The 24,289-nt window shown below is 36.4% G+C and overlaps 2 annotated features.

Annotated features, from left to right (window-relative positions):
* Positions 12,346-12,912: an enhancer, noted in NCBI's record as "NANOG-H3K27ac-H3K4me1 hESC enhancer chr12:74902506-74903072 (GRCh37/hg19 assembly coordinates)". NCBI's record gives its function as "activates a minimal SCP1, AML or CMV promoter by ChIP-STARR-seq in naive H9 embryonic stem cells {active_cell/tissue: H9 hESC(naive)}" and the evidence as "EXISTENCE:reporter gene assay evidence [ECO:0000049][PMID:30033119]".
* Positions 12,913-13,478: an enhancer, noted in NCBI's record as "NANOG-H3K27ac-H3K4me1 hESC enhancer chr12:74903073-74903638 (GRCh37/hg19 assembly coordinates)". NCBI's record gives its function as "activates a minimal SCP1, AML or CMV promoter by ChIP-STARR-seq in naive H9 embryonic stem cells {active_cell/tissue: H9 hESC(naive)}" and the evidence as "EXISTENCE:reporter gene assay evidence [ECO:0000049][PMID:30033119]".

Consider the following 24,289-nt stretch of genomic DNA (forward strand, 5'->3'; position numbering starts at 1 on the left):
ACTAGTTCAACCATTGTGGAAGACAGTGTGGCGATTCCTCAAGGATCTAGAACTAGAAATACCATTTGACCCAGCCATCCCATTACTGGGTATATACCCAAATGATTATAAATTATGCTGCTATAAAAGCACATGAACACGTATGTTTATTGTGGCACTAGTCACAATAGCAAAGACTTGAAACCAAGCCAAATGTCCATCAACAATAGACTGGATGAAGAAAATGTGGCACATATACACCATGGAATACTATGCAGCCATAAAAAAAGATGAGTTCATGTCCTTTGTAGGGACATGGATGAAGCTGGAAACCATCATTCTCAGCAAACTATCGCAAGAACAAAAAAACAAACACCGCATGTTCTCACTCATAGGTGGGAATTGAACAATGAGAACACTTGGACCCAGGAAGTGTAACATCACACACCGAGGCCTCTCGTGGGGTGGGGGGAGGGGGGAGGGAAAGCATTAGGAGATATACCTAATGTAAATGACAAGTTAATGGGTGCAGCACACCAACATGACACATGTATACATATGTAACAAACCTGCACATTGTGCACATGTACCCTAGAACTGAAAGTATAATAAAAAATAAAAGAAGAAACGGGCTTCACTAACGCTATCGAGGGCAATTTGAGTTTGAAAAGATTCCTTCATTAAATAGGAAGGAACATGTTTTAAGAATGCTTTACATACCATATTTCACTTTATTTTTCTTTTTTATACATATAAAAGTAATTACTATGAAATATATGTTTAACTGAGTCTCAAAGAGCTCCTTCAGTGAATACAAAAATATGGTTCAATAGCACATTTTTCCATTTTTTTCTTTATGTGTCTAACCATGTATCTTAAAATTAATAATATTTTGAAAAAATAAAACACTGCAAGTGTATTACAAATACAGTTACACAATGATGCATCCTTACTAATTTTGAAATAAGATTTTGTAACATAAAAATCAATAGATTGAGACAAATACCCTATACTATATCAGCCAATAAAATAATGAAAATGTGGGAACAAGGAAGAGGAAGATAAGGAAATGACATAACTTTGCTACGATCTTCACATTTTATGGGGTGAGTACCAAGAGATTCTATGATAGTCTGAAGTGGATACATTAAGAAGTGGAAATAAAAATATATTTGGTAGAATTATAATCTTCCTAGGTAGAAATGTTATAGACTGACTCAACGTTTGTGTCCTCTCAAAATTCATTTATTTAAATCCATACTCCCAGTACGATAGTACAAGAAGGTGGAGTTTTTGGGAGGTTATTAGGTCATGAGGGTGGAACTATTGTGAATGAGATTATTGATTTTATTTAAGAGGCACAAAGAACTGCCTTATCCCTTCCACTGTGTAAGGACACAGATAGAATATGATATGAACAGGACGCGGACAATAAAATTGCTGGTGCCTTCATCTTAGATGTCCCACCCTCCAGAACTGTGGGAAGCCAATTTCTGCTGTTTATAAGCTAACCAATCTATGGTATTATTATTATAGCAGCCTGAATGGACTAATACAAGTAAAATATGACACACTTTCAAATTTTATAAGAAATAGAGACATGGAAAGTAAAAGTGGAAGGTAAACAAATACCTAAAGACCATAAAATAAAATATGGTAAATAAATGATTAATTTAAAAGAGACAAAGAAAATTCTCATAATTTTTAAAATAGAATAATAAAATAAAATATATTGCCAACTCTATATGTTATGAAATAAATAAGAAGGATAATAAATTGGACCAAAATGAACAATTTTTCTTGGTTAGGAAACAAAAACCCAGTTTTATGTTCTCAGTAAAACAGTCATCTAAATACAGTATGACTCAACAACTTTGAAAGCAACAGAATGGTCAAGGAAATATTTGTTAAATTCAAACAAATAAAATGCAGCTTGGAATACCAAACAAAACCAATACAGGTTATAATACTATTATCAGGCAAGTTTTAAATCAAAAAGGATACAGCCTTTTTTGGTGGCATGAAGGGAACCAGTTTACACATTCTAAACCGAAGATGTTACTTCATGTTTAATATTAAATCATACTACATGTAATTCATAAAATTGTGGACAACCAAATGCATGAAAAACAAAGAAATACTGACAAAAAGCTCAATATAATTGTGTAGGAAACAGTTTTACATACCAATCTGAAATTCTTTACTGACCAAATAACATTAGGTTCCATCAGACACTTCATGATCACCATCTGTAACATATGAGGGCTTGAGAGAAATTCCATAATGTTACATGTGGTACAGGCCAAAAACTGCATTTACTGTGAAAAGAGAACTTACAAAGTCAGCTTTAGTCAGCTTTTTCAGCTTTAGGAAACAAAAGATATGCATCTGTGTTTTGTCATTATTTTATAAAAAGTTGCCAGGGTAGGCCGGGCACAGTGGCTCATGCCTGTAATCCCAGCACTTTGGGAGGCAGAGGCGGGTGGATCACAAGGTCAGGAGTTTGAGACCAGCCTGGCCAATATGGTGAAACTCCGTCTCTACTAAAAATACAAAAATTCGCCGCGTGTGGTGGCAGGGGCCTGTAATCCCAGCTATTTGGGAGGCTGAGGCAGGAGAATCGCTTGAACCTGAGAGGTGGAGGTTGCAGTGAACCTGAGAGGTGGAGGTTGCATGAGTTGAGTGCAATCATGCCATTGCACTCCAGCCTGGGTGACAGAGCGAGACTCTGTCTCAAAATAAAATAAAATAAAATAAAATATAAAATAAAATAAAATAAAATAAAAATTTTAAAAAAGCTGCTGGGGTATTCTGAAAGATGTGCAGTGTATGATTCTAAGTTTTGTTGGAAAGATCTCACCAACTGAGAGCTCTCTCCTTATAAGACAAATATAAGAAGTCTTAGCAAGAGAAAAATATCAAATTATTTTAGTAACAAGATTCTTGAATAGAGCGAAGTCTATTTAGAGCAGAGGAGAAGGAAAACCATTTGCCCAGCACCTGGAGGCTTTGTGGTCTGTGCAAAGTCACAGATATTATGTTAGGAGGAAGGAAGTCATTGGTCCTGTGAGAAGCTGAGTTAGACTACCTCCTGAATAACAGGCATGTAAATTAATCATGGTGGATCACAAAACCTAAAATAAATAAAAAATAATTAAATACCTATCCACTACTTAGGAATGAAGAAAATAAAGCAAAAATGGAAGGGTATTTTTCTCAGTTATTTGATAATAAATTTTAAATGGATATTTTCTTAGAACAAGATATACTGCTACACTTAAAATAGAGCACAGGAAAAGATTTCTAAAAACAAAATCAGAAAATTGGCCAGAGGTGAATGGTTTTGTGGGAGAATGCTTTATAACCTTCAAGATACTTTCAATATAATTCAAAAGTAAAGAGAAATAAAAGATTTTCTTTTCATTTGTTATTGAAACATTATTTTATTTTTAATTGCAAATATGAATTTATTTTTTCAAATATGTAACGCTTTGGCAAGGAATATGTATTTGTTTCCTAGGGTATTTTAACAATGTCCCATGAACCTGGAGGCTTAAAACAACAGAAATGTATTGTCTTTCAGTTCTGGAGGCTGGAAGTTCAAAATCAGGTTGTGAGGGGGGCCTTGCTCTCTCTGAAACCTGTAGAGGGGAATTTTTCCTTGCCTCTTCCTAACTTCTGGTGATGGCTGTCAATCCTTGGTCCTCCTTGGCTTGCAGCTACATTACCCCAATCTCTTCTCTCACCTGCTATTCTCTCCATGCAGCTCCACATCATTTTCTTATAAGGACACAAGTCATATTGCATTAAGGGCCCACTCTATTTGGGTATGACCTATTGTCAACATAACTAATTTTAGTTGCAAAGACCACATTTTCAAAAAAGGTCATATCATGAGGTACTGCCAGTTAGGACTTTAACATATCTTATTTTGAGGGTGGTGGTTGCACAAAACTAAACCCATTGTAATATGGTAGTCAAAATTACATACAAAGTTATGCTCTATTTCATCCTTATATTTTGTTCTCCATTCCACCTAGCCCCTTATAGGTAGTAATTTCTTGTTTCTACAGCCAGTGTTTCCATTTTCAAACAAAAGCAGAAATTGTATGTGTTTGTGTGTGTGCACGTATTTATCTTCTTTTTGCTTGTGTGTGTAGCATATTGATACCCTCTTCAGCAATTTGCAAATTTTCACTTCACAAATATGTCACTCGAAATCACTACAGAGACCTCTTCCTGTACAAGTAAACAACAATCTACTTATAATCTCACTACAAGTAAACTACAAGTAAACTACAGTAAACTACAAGTAAACTAAAATCTCACTTATAATCAATAATGTAAAAAAATTACCTAATGATGTTCATGTTATTTCAACGAGTATACAGACATTATTTTAATCATTCAAAAACAATTAATTATAATGGCATCTATGTATATGTCCTCTCATACAGCTAAAACAAGCAATATAGTATTGAGGTTATGACCAGAAAGGTTGACTCACCATTTTATCATGTAATGTTTAATTAATTTGACACATTAGCTAAATTCTATGATGCTCAGGTTCTTCCTCGATAAGAACATAATGGTAATCTTCAGAACATAATAGGTAATGTACCTATTTCAGAAGGCTACATTAAAGATCAAAGAAACAATACACAAAATTTATTTGGCTGATTCTTGGCCCATAATAAGTGCCCAGTAGTGATTAGCTATTATTATTTTAATAGGAGTAGTGATTATTAGTAGGACTAGGTAGTACAGTTATTATTTTTCATGTAAAATGAGAAAAAAATATGATTAGGTCAACAGAATGTGAAAAGGCGCTTACCAAAATACAACACTATTCCTGAAAACATTTTTTTAAAACAGTTCATGGGTAGGTAGATAAATCTGTAAATAGAAGCCAACTTATGTTTACATATAAAATACCAAAAGGTGATGAGTTTGCTGCTATTGCCACCAATAGCCCACCTGAGTTGCTAAACAAAGTAATCAAAGGAAAAAATAGAAGATACCAATATGGAATAGAAAAGGAGAAATAACCATTATTTTTGGATAATATATTTACTTTAAAAGCATCATATAATCAATAGATGTATACAAGAAAATGTCCATTAAGAAGAATAACTCAAAAATAAGACTCATATTTATGAATTTAACAAGACTTGCATAGGCTTATACAGAGTGAAAGCTGTACAACTTTGCTAAGGGATATAAACATTGATTTTTAATGGAGAGATGTGGCTTTTTTCTGAAGAGAAAAACATAATCTTATAAAGATGTAACTTTCCCCAAAATTGAACAATGAAATCAAACCAACCTGCATCGAGTATAGACAGGGCTTTGTTTTTCTTGGAAGAATATATTTTTGAATTCTGGGAAAATAAATGAGTTACAATATGAGTCCTCAAAAACATCAGTAACACTTCTATAATTAAATTGTGTAGGTCTAAGTAGAAATATGCAAAAGAGTATATGAGAAAGGTCTAAAAAAGTTCTCTTTGAGATTATTTTGTTCTAATATGAAGAAAACAAATGTCAATTATGTGTATGTACCAGTAGAAGAAATTACTAAAATTGATATACCCAAAACACACAAATCTTAAGCTTTGTGATATTTTGATGTAATAAGAAATGCTTTTAAAATGTGGAGAAATAAGGACCATTCCCAGTTATATTATAGCAGTCTTGGGGAATATGCAACTTGGAAAAACAGAGCCCTGCTTTTTCAAATTGGAGTGGGAAATTCAAGTAATAAACTTGTTTCAAGAATGTAAGTGAGATGCATAAAATACATCATTTAACTCTCTGACTTTCCCCATGAAGCCCCATGTTGGAGATCTAGTTCAACCAGGTCTCCACTACTAAACTCCTAAGCAAAGACCCCTAATATTAAGGAATTCCACTACCAGGACTAAAATGAGAAGATGGTATGAGTGTCTTTGCTTGCTTTGAACTACTATCACCCTCTAGCAATAGAATAGACTTTAATTGTGTAATTAAATATACACTGTATAACATGCTTTAATTGTTCCTCATACACAGGGGACCACTTCTTTTGCTAATAGTGAGAATTACTTGGACCACTCATGATGCATAGTAAGTGAACAGAATAGAGAGCTCAGAAATCATAAGTATTCACAGATATCTTATATACAATAAATGTATATATAAAATTTGTATAGATATGATTAATTATTAAATAACTGCAATTAAGGCAATGGGCTAGTTATTTTAAAAATAGAAGCTAGGTTACCATTTCACTGCTCAGTTAAAAATTATTTCACATTCATAAAAATGAGATTAATACTATTAAAATATCAGAAGAAAGCATTGGTAAACAAGTTTGTATCAATGGACAGTAAAAACTTAAAAGTGAAACCAGAAACAATATCGTGGAACACTGATATATTTGACTATCTAAAATCAAATGTCTTGGATTGGCACAATAAATACAATGAATAAAACTAAAATACAAATCGAAAGTAGAAAAACAATTGCAGCATAGATACATATATCAAAGAAAAAAATTTAAATTATAAAGGGTTTTCACAAATAAATTATGAAATCAAAAATATGATAAACATGGGTGAAGGATGAGAATAGGGCACTTCTAAAATTAAATCAATTAACCAACACACAGGAGAAGATACTTATTGTTGCTAATATTCAAATAATGGTGACCAATATTTGTTAGTAGAAAGGTAAATTAATACAATCTTCCCAGTAGGTATTTTGGCAACTTGTCTCAAAATATTAACTAAATGTATTTCTTGATCCAATACTCTTACCCTATGTATTAGTCCATTTTCACACAGCTAACAAAGATATATCCAAGACCGGGCAATTTGTGAAAGAGAGGCTTAATTGGACTTACAGTTCCATGTGGCTGGGGAAGCCTCGCAATCATGGCAGAAGGCAAAGAGGAACAAGTCACATCTTACATGGATGGCAGCAGGCAAAGAAAGATAACTCGTGCAGGGGAACTCCTCTTTTCAAAAACATCAGATCTTGTGAGATTTTTCATGGGAAAGACTTGCCCCAATGATTCAATTACCTCCCACCGGGTCCCTCCCACAGCATGTGGGAGTTCAAGTTGAGATTTGGGTGGGGACACAGCCAAATTATATCACCCTAGTAGTATATTCTTTCTTTCTTTCTTTATTATTATTATACTTTAAGTTTTAGGGTACATGTGCACAATGTGCAGGTTAGTTACATATGTATACATGTGCCATGCTGGTGTGCTGCACCCACTAACTCGTCATCTAGCATTAGGTATATCTCCCAATGCTATCCCTCCCCCCTCCCCCCACCCCACCACAGTCCCTAGAGTGTGATATTCCCCTTCCTGTGTCCATGTGATCTCATTGTTCAATTCCCACCTATGAGTGAGAATATGCGGTGTTTGGTTTTTTGTTCTTGCAATAGTTTACTGAGAATGATGATTTCCAATTTCATCCATGTCCCTACAAAGGACAAGAACTCATCATTTTTTATGGCTGCATAGTATTCCATGGTGTATATGTGCCACGTTTTCTTAATCCAGTCTATCGTTGTTGGACATTTGGGTTGGTTCCAAGTCTTTGCTATTGTGAATAATGCCGCAATAAACATACATGTGCATGAGTCTTTATAACAGCATGATTTATAGTCCTTTGGGTATATACCCAGTAATGGGATGGCTGGGTCAAATGGTATTTCTAGTTCTAGATCCCTGAGGAATCGCCACACTGACTTCCACAATGGTTGAACTAGTTTACAGTCCCACCAACAGTGTAAAAGTGTTCCTATTTCTCCACATCCTCTCCAGCACCTGTTGTTTCCTGACTTTTTAATGATTGCCATTCTAACTGGTGTGAGATGGTATCTCATTGTGGTTTTGATTTGCATTTCTCTGATGGCTGGTGATGGTGAGCATTTTTTCATGTGTTTTTTGGCTGCATAAATGTCTTCTTTTGAGAAGTGTCTGTTCATATCCTTCACCCACTTGTTGATGGGGTTGTTTGTTTTTTTCTTGTAAATTTGTTTGAGTTCATTGTAGATTCTGGATATTAGCCCTTTGTCAGACGAGTATGTTGTGAAAATTTTCTCCCATTTTGTAGGTTGCCTGTTCACTCTGATGGTAGTTTCTTTTGCTGTGCAGAAGCTCTTTAATTAGATCCCGTTTGTCAATTTTGGCTTTTGTTGCCATTGCTTTTGGTGTTTTAGACATGAAGTCCTTGCCCATGCCTATGTCCTGAATGGTAATGCCTAGGTTTTCTTCTAGGGTTTTTATGATTTTAGGTCTAACGTTTAAGTCTTTAATCCATCTTGAATTAATTTTTGTATGAGGTGTAAGGAAGGGATCCAGTTTCAGCTTTCTACATATAGCTAGCCAGTTTTTCCAGCACCATTTATTAAATAGGGAATCCTTTCCCCATTGCTTGTTTTTCTCAGGTTTGTCAAAGATCAGATAGTTGTAGATATGTGTCGTTATTTCTGAGGGCTCTGTTCTGTTCCATTGATCTATATCTCTGTTTTGGTACCAGTACCATGCTGTTTTGGTTACTGTAGCCTTGTAGTATAGTTTGAAATCAGGTAGTGTGATGCCTCCAGCTTTGTTCTTTTGGCTTAGGATTGACTTGGTGATGCGGGCTCTTTTCTGGTTCCATATGAACTTTAAAGTAGTTTTTTCCAATTCTGTGAAGAAAGTCATTGGTAGCTTGATGGGGATAGCATTGAATCTGTAAATTACTTTGGGCAGTATGGCCATTTTCATGATATTGATTCTTCCTACCCATGAGCATGGAATGTTCTTCCATTTGTTTGTATCCTCTTTTATTTCCTTGAGCAGTGGTTTGTAGTTCTCCTTGAAGAGGTCCTTCACATCCCTTGTAAGTTGGATTCCTAGGTATTTTATTCTCTTTGAAGCAATTGTGAATGGGAGTTCAGTCATGATTTGGCTCTCTGTTTGTCTGTTGTTGGTGTATAAGAATGCTTGTGATTTTTGTACATTGATTTTGTATCCTGAGACTTTGCTGAAGTTGCTTATCAGCTTAAGGAGATTTTGGGCTGAGACAATGGGGTTTTCTAGATATACAATTATGTCGTCTGCAAACAGGGACAATTTGACTTCCTCTTTTCCCAATTGAATACCCTTTATTTCCTACTCCTGCCTAATTGCCCTGGCCAGAACTTCCAACACTATGTTGAATAGGAGTGGTGAGATAGGGCATCCCTGTCTTGTGCCAGTTTTCAAAGGGCATTCTTCCAACTTTTGCCCATTCAGTATGATATTGGCTGTGGGTTTGTCATAGATAGCTCTTATTATTTTGAAATACTTCCCATCAATACCTAATTTATTGAGAGTTTTTAGCATGAAAGGCTGTTGAATTTTGTCAAAGGCCTTTTCTGCATCTATTGAGATAATCATGTGGTTTTTGTCTTTGGTTCTGTTTATATGCTGGATTACATTTATTGATTTGCATATATTGAACCAGCCTTGCATCCCAGGGATGAAGCCCACTTGATCATGGTGGATAAGCTTTTTGATGTGCTGCTGGATTCGGTTTGCCAGTATTTTATTGAGGATTTTGGCATCAATGTTCATCAAGGATATTGGTCTAAAATTCTCTTTTTTTGGTTGTGTCTCTGCCCGGCTTTGGTATCAGGATGATGCTGGCCTCATAAAATGAGTTAGGGAGGATTCCCTCTTTTTCTATTGATTGGAATAGTTTCAGAAGGAATGGTACCAGTTCCTCCTTGTACCTCTGGTAGAATTCGGCTGTGAATCCATCTGGTCCTGGACTCTTTTTGGTTGGTAAGCTATTGATTATTGCCACAATTTCAGATCCTGTTATTGGTCTATTCAGAGATTCAACTTCTTCCTGGTTTAGTCTTGGGAGAGTGTATGTGTCGAGGAATTTATCCATTTCTTCTGGATTTTCTAGTTTATTTGCATAGAGGTGTTTGTAGTATTCTCTGATGGTAGTTTGTATTTCTGTGGGATCGGTGGTCATATCCCCTTTATCATTTTTTATTGCATCTATTTGATTCTTCTCTCTTTTTTTCTTTATTAGTCTTGCTAGTGGTTTATCAATTTTGTTGATCCTTTCAAAAAACCAGCTCCTGGATTCATTAATTTTTTGAAGGGTTTTTATGTCTCTATTTCCTTCAGTTCTGCTCTGATTTTAGTTATTTCTTTCCTTCTGCTAGCTTTTGAATGTGTTTGTTCTTGCTTTTCTAGTTCTTTTAATTGTGATGTTAGGGTGTCAATTTTGGATCTTTCCTGCTTTCTCTTGTGGGCATTTAGTGCTATAAATTTCCCTCTACACACTGCTTTGAATGCATCCCAGAGATTCTGGTATGTTGTGTCTTTGTTCTCGTTGGTTTGAAAGAACATCTTTATTTCTGCCTTCATTTCGTTATGTACCCAGTAGTCATTCAGGAACAGGTTGTTCAGTTTCCATGTAGTTGAGCGGTTTTGAGTGAGATTCTTAATCCTGAGTTCTAGTTTGATTGCACTGTGGTCTGAGAGATAGTTTGTTATAATTTCTGTTCTTTTACATTTGCTGAGGAGAGCTTTACTTCCAAGTATGTGGTCAATTTTGGAATAGGTGTGGTGTGGTGCTGAAAAAAATGTATATTCTGTTGATTTGGGGTGGAGAGTTCTGTAGATGTCTATTAGGTCTGCTTGGTGCAGAACTGAGTTCAATTCCTGGGTATCCTTGTTGACTTTCTGTCTGGTTGATCTGTCTAATGTTGACAGTGGGGTGTTAAAGTCTCCCATTATTATTGTGTGGGAGTCTAAGTCTCTTTGTAGGTCACTCAGGACTTGCTTTATGAATCTGGGTGCTCCTGTATTGGGTGCATATATATTTAGGATAGTTAGCTCTTCTTGTTGAATTGATCCCTTTACCATTATGTAATGGCCTTCTTTGTCTCTTTTGATCTTTGTTGGTTTAAAGTCTGTTTTATCAGAGACTAGGATTGCAACCCCTGCCTTTTTTTGTTTTCCATTTGCTTGGTAGATCTTCCTCCATCCTTTTATTTTGAGCCTATGTATGTCTTTGCACATGAGATGGGTTTCCTGAATACAGCACACTGATGGGTCTTGACTCTTTATCCAATTTGCCAGTCTGTGTCTTTTAATTGAAGGATTTAGTCCATTTACATTTAAAGTGAATATTGTTATGTGTGAATTTGATCCTGTCATTATGATGTTAGCTGGTGATTTTGCTCGTTAGTTGATGCAGTTTCTTCCTAGTCTCGATGGTCTTTACATTTTGGCATGATTTTGCAGTGGCTGGTACTGGTTTTTCCTTTCCATGTTTAGTGCTTCCTTCAGGAGCTCTCTTAGGGCAGGCCTGGTGGTGACAAAATGTCTCAGCATTTGCTTGTCTGTAAAGTATTTTATTTCTCCTTCACTTATGAAGCTTAGTTTGGCTGGATATGAAATTCTGCATTGAAAATTATTTTCTTTAAGAATATTGAATATTGGCCCCCACTCTGTTCTGGCTTGTAGAGTTTCTGCTGAGAGATCTGCTGTTAGTCTGATGGGCTTCCCTTTGCGGGTAACCCGACCTTTCTCTCTGGCTGCCCTTAACATTTTTTCCTTCATTTCAACTTTGGTGAATCTGACAATTATGTGTCTTGGAGTTGCTCTTCTCGAGGAGTATCTTTGTGGCGTTCTCTGTATTTCCTGAATCTAAATGTTGGCCTGCCTTGCTAGATTGGGGAAGTTCTCCTGGAAAATATCCTGCAGAGTATTTTCCAACTTGGTTCCATTCTCCCCGTCACTTTCAGGTACACCAATCAGACGTAGATTTGGTCTTTTCACATAGTCCCATATTTCTTGGAGGCTATGCTGGTTTCTTTTTATTCTTTTATCTCTAAACTTCCCTTCTCGCTTCATTTCATTCATTTCATCTTCCATCGCTGATACCCTTTCTTCCAGTTGATCGCATCGGCTCCTGAGGCTTCTGCATTCTTCACGTAGTTCTTGAGCCTTGGTTTTCAGCTCCATCAGCTCCTTTAAGCACTTCTCTGTATTGGTTATTCTAGTTATACATTCTTCTAAATTTTTTTCAAAGTTTTCAACTTCTTTGCCTTTGGTTTGAATGTCTTCCCGTAGCTCGGAATAATTTGATCGTCTGAAGCCTTCTTCTCTCAGCTCCTCAAAGTCATTCTCCATCCAGCTTTGTTCCGTTGCTGGTGAGGAACTGCGTTCCTTTGGAGGAGGAGAGGCGCTCTGCTTTTTAGAGTTTCCAGTTTTTCTGCTCTGTTTTTTCCCCATCTTTGTGGTTTTATCTACTTTTGGTCTTTGATGATGGTGATGTACAGATGGGTTTTTGGTGTGGATGTCCTTTCTGTTTGTTAGTTTTCCTTCTAACAGACAGGACCCTTAGCTGCAGGTCTGTTGGAGTACCCGGCTGTGTGAGGTGTCAGTCTGCCCCTGCTGGGGGGTGCCTCCCAGTTAGGCTGCTCGGGGGTCAGGGGTCAGGGACCCACTTGAGGAGGCAGTCTGCCGGTTCTCAGATCTCCAGCTGCGTGCTGGGAGAACCACTGCTCTCTTCAAAGCTGTCAGACAGGGACATTTAAGTCTGCAGAGGTGTTACTGCTGCCTTTTTGTTTGTCTGTGCCCTGCCCCCAGAGGTGGAGCCTACAGAGGCAAGCAGGCCTCCTTGAGCTGTGGTGGGCTCCACCCAGTTCCAGCTTCCCTGCTGCTTTGTTTACCTAATCAAACCACAACTCAGCAATGGCGGGCGCCCCTCCCCCAGCCTCGCAGTTTGATCTCAGACTGCTGTGCTAGCAATCAGCGAGACTCCGTGGGCGTAGGACCCTCTGAGCCAGATGCGGGATATAATCTGGTGCACCGTTTTTTAAGCCCGTCGGAAAAGCGCAGTATTCGGGTGGGAGTGACCCGATTTTCCAGGTGCCGTCTGTCACCCCTTTCTTTGACTAGGAAAGGGAACTCCCTGACCCCTTGTGCTTCCCGAATGAGGCAATGCCTCGCCCTGCTTCGGCCCGCGCACGGTACGCGCACCCACTTACCTGCGCCCACTGTCTGGCACTCCCTAGTGAGATGAACCCGGTACCTCAGATGGAAATGCAGAAATCACCGTCTTCTGCCTCGCTCACGCTGGGAGTTGTAAACTGGAGCTGTTACTATTCGGCCATCTTGGCTCCTCCCCCCAACCCACCGCCCCAGTAGTATATTCTTAAGGAGAATAATCTCATTAGTACAAAAAGGTATGCCACTACAGTACAGTTTCTTATCATAAAAAGTTGAAAGAACCTATTTTCCATGAATTAAAGTTTAATTAAATAAATTATTAAACATACATGAGATACTATGCCTATGTTAAAATTCATAATTCTACTGGAAGGAAAAAGCAAAAAAATTTATTAAAAGAATTAATGAAAAATTTGCTTTTAATTCAAATTATCTGACAACATGGCAATAAAAAAATAGTTGAGAATATTCCTTCTGGAGAAGTCTGTCTTTTAATCTCCAACAACAATGACCATAAATTGAAAAGAAAATTCCAGGATCAAAGGTATTTAAATCCCCCTCTTCTCTCTCTCTGTCTTTTTTTTTAATTTAACTACATAGTTACACATGCATGTAGTTCTGCAAAAATTTTCACTTGCTAGGAATTTACTAGCTCAGGTCTTCTGTGTGCAACCTATATGCCAGCAGGGTTTTTCCTGCCTTGAGAGTTCTAAATAAACTGCAGGAAATCCCCAATACATTAAAAACACTACAAATTACTCTCTATAATGAAAAGAGTCCTGTAGGCTGATTTCCTCCAGTAGCCTTTCTATAGGTCCTATACATCATATGCTCATCCTGTTTTTCCCTAATATTGGACAGGATACAATATACAGCCCCTCTGCAATTTTCAAAAAATTAAGTTGCAACATGCATTTTATGAATTTAGTAACTTTACTTGAGTTTTGAGGTTTCATGTTAATTAGTCACCTTTACAGAATTTGTACCATGAACCTCTTCTCTAAAGAATTAAAAACTTCCTCTTATGCAGGGTAGTTTCCCTGCCCCCTTTGTTTGACATCTGGATACAAATTATCCATTCCAGAAGCACACTCACATTCTCAAGAGAAAAAAAAATCCTCCCTGCAAACTGAATTTCTTTATAAGAGAAAATTTTCTACCAGATGTGAAGTTGAATAGAGTAGCCCAAATGTAGCAAATGTTATCTATGTTTTTTATTTCTGACAATAGATACCTTAAGCTTAAAGAAGTCATAATACCATAGTTGGCTTATAACAGTGATGGCAGGCAGCGTGGACTTACTACCCCAATAGTAGACTCTTTTGTTTCTTGCTTTCCTTTATGTAGGTGGAAAAAGTAAATACTTACCTTTCCAGACTCGTCTGAAGTTAGGGATGACTACTTTTAATGAGGAGATGAAAACAGAAGTTCTTGGGTGGAGTCTCTGGGAAAACTGGCAAATAAGATGGAATGGTACATTTACCATCAGCTCTTTTATTCTTCACCCTTCTTCCTGCTTGAAAAACTAAATAAAATATTTGGAAATGCAGCATCATCCCTGATTCTACAGAGATGAAAGCCACACACAAATTGGCAGGTCAGGATGGCAGAAAGATACTCAGTCCCAGATGTCATTACTGAGCTACCATACAATTCTAAGACTCTGTGACTCTGACTTCTTGGTGAAGGAGACAAATAAATGCATTCTACTGTAAGTCCAGGCAAGTGGAAAAGATACAGTAGGTTTCTATAAATATGTAAAGATCATCATCTGAGGTTTAACATTTATCAACAAGTTCCTAGTTTCCCTTATTTTGTAGTTAAACTGGATAGTCCATTGATATGGTTTGGCTCTGTGTCCCCACCCAAATCTCATCTTGAATCATACTCCAAAAATTCCCACATGTTGTGAGAGGGATCCAGTGGGAGATAATTGAATCATGGGGCAGTTTCTCCCATACTGTAATCATGGTAATGAAAAAGTCTCATGAGATCTGATGGTTTGAGAAGGGGAAACTGTTTCGTTTGGTTCTCATTCTGTCTTTCCTCTCGTGATGTAAGACATGCCTTTTGCCTTCCACCATGATTGTGAGGCTTCTCCAGCCACGTGGTACTGTAAGTCCAATTAAACCTTTATTTCTGTATAAATTACCCAGTCTCGGGTATGTCTTTATCAGCAGCGTGAAAATGGACTAATACATCCATTCTTGAATAATGTTTTGCTTAATTAATTTTTTCCTCACAACCCTAACAAGCACTACCGGTCTTATTTTAGTGAATTGACTTGCTTCTGTGATTATTGCTGATTGTCAGCATATAAAATATTAATAAATGCATTAGTAATATTAGGTCATATACAATAATATAATGAATCATTTCATTTAATTTCAAAATGTAATGAACTGCACGAACTACAGAACCTCATAAAACTGTTCTCAAAAGTCGACATATTGTATGTTGGTTATTCTTTGAAGTAGCCTTGCAATAAAAGCAAAAATAAAGCTTAGTTTGTTAATGATTCTAATGAAATTTGTATTTTTATCTTCTCAAAAGCCTAGTAGTATAAGTTATAACAGGGAGATTGCCAATATCACTTTGGAAAGTCAGTCATCCTTTTCACTTCTATAAAAAATAATTTATCATCAAAATATATAATAATAAAATACTACATTACACCAGAACCTGTGATGAATTAGGTCAGATGTGCAATGTGTGAACATTAGGAATTTTATCTCCTCTTATTGTGTGATCCTATTATGGTTCATTTCTTAAAACAGACATTAGAAAATTATAATTAGAAAAGGAAGTCAACAAAAATCTCATTTTTCTGAAATTAATTTATCAGAAAAAAATCTATGTGAAAACCTAATATGTTTTCAGAAATAATCACACAACACAAACTGAAATTGGTGAGGGAAGATACATCATCATATCACCAAAGTGCTCTTGTTTTACAGTGCAAATCATAAGGTCTTCGTTATGGGATTAAATTTTAGCCATAATAAATGTAATACTTTAAGAACTTTTTTTAAAGAACTTTTACTTGTTTTTTCTGATTTTTTGTGGTTTTCACATTTACTGATTTATTAGGGTTTTTTTTCTTCTTATACTAAAATTCTCTTAAGTGATGAGATAGAAGTTTGCATAAAAGATATTAACTTTCCCAGTCTCATTTTATGTTTCCCGTTTAAAGCAGATCATGCACATAAAAATTCTATTCCTGCAGTGTATTCCAGGACTTTAAGAAGTAACATGACTCTCAGATGGTATTTTACGTGCATAAAATGAGAACATGAAATAATGGTCTCTACTTGTAGATTATTGAGCCTAGGGAAGTGATTGATTTAGTGGATAATGTTTTGATTTATTCTCTTGTGTATTTTTCTTTCTCAGTAATACCTTTGACTGTATGTTCCTTTTCCCATTTAAACTAGACTTTGAGGTGATGCTTATTATCCAAGGAAAGGGTATACTAAAAGGTATAAATATAAATAGTCTTGATTTCTTGGGTACAAATTCCAAAATAGTCTTGAAAATCATACTCACCTTTCCTGATTTTATGCAGTAAAATATGACTTTTTTTTCCACAATCACATACTGGCAAAATATAATAATTGTTTGGGATTCAAAGGGTTTGGCTTAGAATATCACAAACAAATTTTCAACGAATTAGAGCATAAATTTTATACTAAAAATCAGAGGTTTTTAAAACTTTTGCAACAGCACGAATATATTCCAAGGGTGGGTGATAAATATGCCAAAAATATTGATGACTATAAAACCTTTAGAGTGATAAATTAATAGTGATGCAAATTTACTTTTAACTAGTCAGAAATTTCCATCATTGAAATAATAATAAAAATATATTTATGTGGCAATTCAATGTCCATCCATCAATAAATAACTGCTACTTGACTTGCCCTTCCACTGTAAATAAGTGTAAACTTGGACAAAATATATGAAGTGATTATTTTCATGCATTGAACAATAGGCAAAGCAGGACTATAATCCTCGACAGAAGACATCAACAACATTCTGAGTAGGGGTACTTTCTCTACTTGTCTTACGGAAACGGAGCTCAAGTGACGCAGTGGTATTGCTGAGCCAAGGAAGCAGAGTTTGGAATTCTATATTGCTGAAGTAGACGGAATTTTCAAGGCAGGTTCCTAGAAAGAAAGAAGTTGAACAGAGGGGCCCCACATGTCTGTGAGGACTCACACTGGGGTATTATTATTATTATTATTATTATTATTATTATTATTATTTTATTATTATTATTTTGACTGAGGGCCTTGTTGTGTAATGCTCACAGAACGACTCAGCGACACTTAGCAGAAATGTGCTGGTGCTGGGCTGAGAATGAATGAAGATAACAGAGATCACACCAGGATAAAAATATTGCAATTCTGGCCCATAAAGAAATGAGACACATTGCTGAAGATTGCAGATATTTAATTGAGAGTCAGAAAAGACATGGCTTTGGAATAAAGGTGCACCCTCTAACTAATGACAAAATCAAAATCGACCTACCTTAACAGAGACTAAAACCAAGACTAGCAGAAGCAACAAAAATCCGGGGTAATTTAATCGTCTGACAAAATATAATTAATACCCTATAAAGAAAGAAAATATAATTCAACCATGTAAATTAGCAAGGAAGCATGGTCTATTTTTTTTAATTGGTCAATAGAAACACAACCTAATATTGCTTTAATATTGTCTTTATCACATGAGGAGAGAAAAACAGCTTTTTAAAATACGTTAAAAGACTTAAAATAAACGGTAATTATGACACAGAATTATTTCAGTGCCACTTCACCAGCTGGGAATCTCTGTGGCCCGTGGCACCTCTGCCTGGGCTTTGCTCCAGCCAGTTGGGCTCACTCCGCCCACTCAGTCTGACAGGCTGTCCTCTGGTCATGCTACCAGCCAGGATCCCACACTCAACATGGGGTTGCTGCGTTCAGCTCACGGCTGGTCCAGGGATGCTGCCACCGACTTGCTACTGCCTTGGGCGCCAGTGTCTGGACCAAGGGGATGGAGTGACACCCAAAAACTCAGAGACGCCAGTAACCACAGAGCCCCATGGGAGTGTCACAACTTCTGCTCACGAAGTTCTGTGGTCTGAGCCACTAGGGAATGCCACAGGTATCTCTCTCATTCCAGCCTCTAGCTGCTCAACAAATGGGAACATGTTATAGCTTGTTCCTTCCCGCCACTCATGGCTTGGTGAAGAGGGACTTGTTATAGCCCTGGCTCAGGGAGTCCAGTGGTCTGGGCCCCCAGAAGGGTCACAGCTTTTCACTTCTGTAGTACGGCAAACAGGAGTATGACGCAGCTCTTTTCATTCATGCTGTCCACAGCTCGGCCAGGAGCTGGCCGGGAACATTTTTCAACCCTTTTTGTCCCTGCTGTTCTGTGGGTTCCAAGTTCTTGTCATGTGACCAAGAAGAATGAGGTACATGGACACCAGAGAATGAGCAAGGCAGAGAATAATTTTATTGAGCAACAGAAAAGTTCTCAACAATGTGAGGGGAACTGAAGTGGGTAGCCTTCTGTGTGAGAGGGGGTCTGAAAGCGGGTAAACCTCTGTGTGGCTGAGTCCAGGGTTTTTACAGGCTTGCAATGAGGAGGCACAGACTGTATATAGCCTTGGAAAAGGCAACATTTGATTGGTTAAAAAGCATTATTCAGAAAGAACCAATCAGAAAAGAGTGGGCAAACAGGAATAGAAATTCTCACTGTGGTCGTGGACTTTATCCCAGACTGGCAACTCAGTTTTCAGGCTTTAAATTGTCTTTGGTTTGAAGGTAGGTTTCACTGGGAACCCACGCCTGTCTGCCCATGAATTTATCTGTCTCCTGCCACTATCAATTATAATAAGTAAACCAATGAAAGAATCAAGATACAGAATATAATCTATAAAGAAATAACTACTTGAAATTCTAGAACTGAAAAATAGAATACCTGTACAGTGTGTGTTCTAAAATGTGACTTTATTTGTAACAGTATAGAAAACATATAAAAGAAATGAACTTGACCCAAAAAGTACAACACATTTAAAGAACACCTAAGTAAATGAAAAGACATAATATGAGCTAAGATCAGAAAATTCAATATTGTTAAGATATCAGTTCTATCAAAATTGATTTGTACGTTCAATGAAATACAAAATCTAATTTCATCAGAGGTTTTTATAGAAATGGACAAAATGATTCTAAAGCTTATATGACAATGCAAAGGACATTGCAATGTTGAAAAAGAAGAATAAAGTAAAAAGATTTATGCTACCTGATATCTGGAATTACTACAAAGATATGTGATAAAGACAATGTAATATTATTGTAAAAATAAAGAAATATATAAATAGAACCTAATAGAGTCCAGAAAGAGAAGGAACATGACATATGCAATACATTTTTCTTTTCCTCCTTTCCCTCTCTCATCAATATTTATCAACATCATTTATCAACTTTCTTAACAAGAAAAGAGTCTTACTTTGTCAACATAGTGCAGGGAAACCATTCTTAGGCTAAGGCAACAGATAAGTTTCAACGGAGGGAGTCTTTTGCTTCACCTCTCATACCGTAAACTGGGGAGACTAAGGATTCTTTTCAGATGCCTCAAGTCTAGTGTTTCACCAGAGAAGCAGAATAGCAATGGTTAATTGCATTGCCTCAGGCTGAATCATTTGATAAGAAACCTAAAACAGAAGGTCACACCCTGAGAAAGGCAGCCTGTGCCCCAGAAGAGCTAAAGAAGTGCTTGAGAGAGTCAGTAGAAAAGAAGAAGCTATTAAATCTTGCTAAGGAATCTCTATTAATAGACAGAACAATGGTATTTACAATACTGACTATAAATGTCAAAAGCAGATGTATGAGGAAGTCAAAATTACAGAGACAAATAAAAATGAATGGCTGCCAGGTATATGGGAATGGGGGGAGATGAATAGGTGAAGCCCAGTGGGTATTTTTAGGACTGTGATACTAATTCTGTATAGTTCTCTAGTGGCAGATACACAACACTATCCATGTGTGAAAACCAATATAATGTTACAGTGCAAATATTAAACCTTAATATGTGATTTTTTTTTAGAAAAAGATCAAGTGGAGGGTGAAGGATTACAAATGGAATGCAGACTATGGCAAAAAAATCTAATGGTATTAAAAATACCTGACATAACCTAACTGTAGGATGTGGATAAAAAGAGGTGCTGATCTCAATAACTTTGGAAACTAGACTGGACTGTAGGACTAAAAACAAAATAAAATGTTCATAAGCATTATTCTAGTTGGTAAAGTTGCCTCCAGTGGTGGTACAGGTTAAAAGATGTGAAGTCACTATTCATGTATATTGAAATTGAACCAACAAATAAATACACAGAGAACAGTGAGAGTGAGGTTTTTATTCTTGGAGAAGTTATAGATAAGCAAGATGGAAGGGTTAGAATGAATCATGTGGTTCTGGATTAGAGCCATAAAAATCTGTATAAGCTCATGTTTAGCTTAATAAAGATACTGAAGGATACGCATACCAATAGTTATAAGTATCTCTTTATGCACAGGTTAGTTATATATACATACATGCCTTAGCTCTGTTCACAAAGAGGGCCAAAACCAAAGACACCTCAATAGGAATGAGCACATCTAGAACCCAGAACTTGATTTTTAAACTCGTTCTTCAATAAAAGGAACCAGGAATACTTAAAATGGCTGAGTTTAAAGTAGCAAGTATTAGACAAAATGAGCCTGGAATAACTGTATGCCAGAAAATGAGTGCTTAAAAAAATAAGATAATTGGGTTAAGTCAAAAGGGCTTTGAAAGTTCTCCCAATAGCCAAAGATGAAACAATCTGAGCAACAAAATAAGTGGCATATTATATTAGTCAGGGTTCTCTAGAGGGACAGAATAGGGTAGATGTTTATACATATATATACAGGGGAGTTTAATAAGGAGTATTGACTAACACAATCACAAGGTGAGGCCCCACAATAAACCATCTGCAAGCTGAGGAGCAAGGAAGCCAGTCCGAGTTCCAAAGCTGAAGAACTTGGAGTCTGATGCTCGAGAGCAGGAAGCATCCAGCACAGGAGAAAGATGTAGGCTGGGAGGTTATGCCAATCTAGTCTTTTTATGTTCTTCTGCCTGTTTTTATTCTGGCCGCACTGGCAGCTGATTAGATTGTGCCCACCCAGATTATGGGTGAGTCTGCCTTTCCCAGTTCACTGACTCAAATGTCAATCTCCTTTGCCAACACCCTCACAGACATACCTTCAGTCCAATAAAGTTGACACTCAATATTAACCATCACACATAGCATTGGATTATAATCTAAAACAAAATAAATATCCACAATTCAATACTATGATCAATCAACCAAGGAGTACAAGTCTACATGGAAGAAGTCCAACTAATTTATGTAGATACTCCCTTCTCTACCAATTATGTGGGTTTAGTGACTTAGTTCCACAGAATAAATTATGAAAAGTGTGTGTCAGGGGCAAGGGTAGGTTTACAGTGAAGAAACCTAGCAAATATTACCTTAGACAAGTAATCACCATTAACATCAATGGTAAATCAAGTTGATAGCATGTGCCTTTTACGTGATATGCTATGGTCTTCCTCACAAAAACTCCAAAGCCCTGTCTAGCCATGAGAAAATAATCAGGCAAATTTTAATTGAGAGGCAGTCTTCAAAATATCTGATCATTACTCTTCAAATCTCTCAAGGTTGTCAAAAAAAGGAAAGCCCAAGGAAAAACTGTCACAGTCCAGAGGAGCCAAAGAAGACATAAGGATTAAATACAAAGTGCTATCTAGAGAGGATCCTCTATCAGAAAAAAAATTAGAGAAAAACAAATGAAATCTGAAAAACAGCAAAGAGAGTAGTTGATAATAATGTATCAATTTTGGTTCATTAGTTGTAACAAATGTACCACACTAACATAAGATCTTAATAATAGGAGAAACGGTGTGGGGTATATGGAAACTCCACTATATTTGCCACTTTCTGTAAGTTTGTAACTATTCAAAAATTTAAAGTTTGTTAAAAATAGTAAACAAAAATATATATACAGAAGGAGCAGTGCTTGGCAGTACTGTAATACAGATAGAATAAGCCATACCATGGTTGCAATTAATGAGATCAGAGACTGGCCCAAAAAACAAATGTTTTTCCCATAAGAACATCCTGGAATTAGGTGACTTTTGGGCAAAAGAGAGAGAGAAATAGGAGAGAATCAGAATCATCATAAAGACCACTATTTTTAACTGGAAGAAGCTAATTTATCTTGATTGCACAATTATGATTTCTATGACCAAAGTAATAGAGAACTCAAAACTACATTTACTTCAGCGTTAAGTGATAAAATCAGGCTTATATTGGATTTTGTGGGCAGTCATAAATTTGAAAATGTATACCTTCTTACTCAGATATGAAAGGAACAATTCATGAAGGGTGCAAAAACAGAAAATAGAGGGTACCATAGCATCAGAAAACAGAGTTAACTCACTGTGGGGATTCATTAAAGATCTGCCCTGTTTCTTGGATGGAAAAACATAGGTTTAGCACCAGATGAGCTATATTATTGGTGCAAGTTAAATAAATATATTGAAATGTCTCAGGAAAGCAGAATTGAATGTACCTAGTGATATAAATTAGGACAATAATAGGCTGATGTGCAACATGAGTAATCAAAGACAGTGGGAAGGTGCAGGGAAGCAGGCTGCAATTTTAAATAGGGCAGTCCAAGTAGAACTCATTCTTGTGGACTAGAGCACATTGAAACAGGCTTGAAGAAGATTTAAGTGTTAGCAATGTGTGACAGCCAATGAAAAAACACTAAGTCAAAAGTGAGTTTGCCATGTTTAAAGAACTGCAAGAACAGTGTGTTTTGAGGAGAGCAAGTGTGAGTGAGAGTAACTAGCTATGAGTTCAGGTGGGGGTTACAGACTGTAGAGTCTCGAAGGCAAAGTAAAAATCCCAGCATTTACTCATAGATAGAAAGTCACTGCAAAGTTTCTCAACAAGAGTATCATAATCTAACATTTCAATAGAATTATTAATTCCACAAATGATTTAGAAGAGTTTAAGGAAATGCATGTAGAAAACATGAAGAAATGACCTATGGAAGGTTTCATTTAGAGTACACAGATTATGAGCTATGGATATATTTAACTATATACACCTTGAAATGTATAATGTATAATTTCCATGAACAAGAGGAATCTTTTCTTCACAAATAAATGTAAATGGTCTGCCACTGTGGGCTTTATCTTCAACACTGTCTCATCTCTTCCCAAAATGAGTTTATTTGTAAATTGCTGATTTATTTGGAACATTGTCCCCGTAAACTTTTCGTAAAGCATCAGTGATTTTTATCATTTTCTGCCCAAGCTTAGCCATAAATTTGATGTTTGCTCCTTCTTCAATTTTAGCAGACTTCATGTTGCTCTGATAAGGGCTTTGTTCAAACTGTTGTCTTATCCTTCTTAGTGCTACAATCTGGATTCTGTTCAAATATGTTACAACAAGTTAGTATGAATTTATTTTGGTACAAAAAATTTTAAAATCTATGCATAGCTTTTTTATGATATGTATTTTCCATGAACTTTTTGAAGACCCTTTACATGATAATGCTTCAACGATTATTTCTGTCCTAAAGTTAGTGTTTCTATCATGCTGCATTGTCTTTACAGCTATATTTAAGAGATAATAAATTTAACATAATAAGTTTAATTCAAGTTGCCACCATAATAACAAGCTCAATTTCAACATATTACTATAGTATCTCCCTAAAGTTCCTGAAAATATTGAGAAATTATTTCATTGGTAATTTCTCCAAAGAGAACAAAGCTTTCAATTTGTGCTATTCTTTGCTTGAATCTTAAGGCTGAATTTTCTGAACTTGTTATGAGAACCAATGATCAGGAGACATGGAGCTAAATAAACCTTCTCATGGAAGCTTATACTCACAAGTCTGGTTTTCAAAAGGTGATAAGTCCATTTCCTTACAAGTTCATTTTTAAGCCACACAGAAAATGACTCCTTTAAACTCTGAGTCAAGTCATGACAGACTAAGGTAATGATGTCTAATATCAGAGGCCCATTTTGCAAATTGTTTTCATGGAAAAAATATTTATGAAGACAGAAACTTTCAGAAGAGAAGTACATTGGGAATAGGAGTTAAAGGTTACTAGAATACTTGAAAAGTCATATTTATAACTGTATTAGTCCATTTTCATGCTGCTGATAAAGACATACCTGAGACTGGGTAATTTGCAAAAGAAAGAGATTTAATTGGACTC

The sequence above is a fragment of the Homo sapiens genome, chromosome 12 (genome assembly GCF_000001405.40).
Source record: "Homo sapiens chromosome 12, GRCh38.p14 Primary Assembly".
Lineage (NCBI taxonomy): Eukaryota > Metazoa > Chordata > Mammalia > Primates > Hominidae > Homo > Homo sapiens.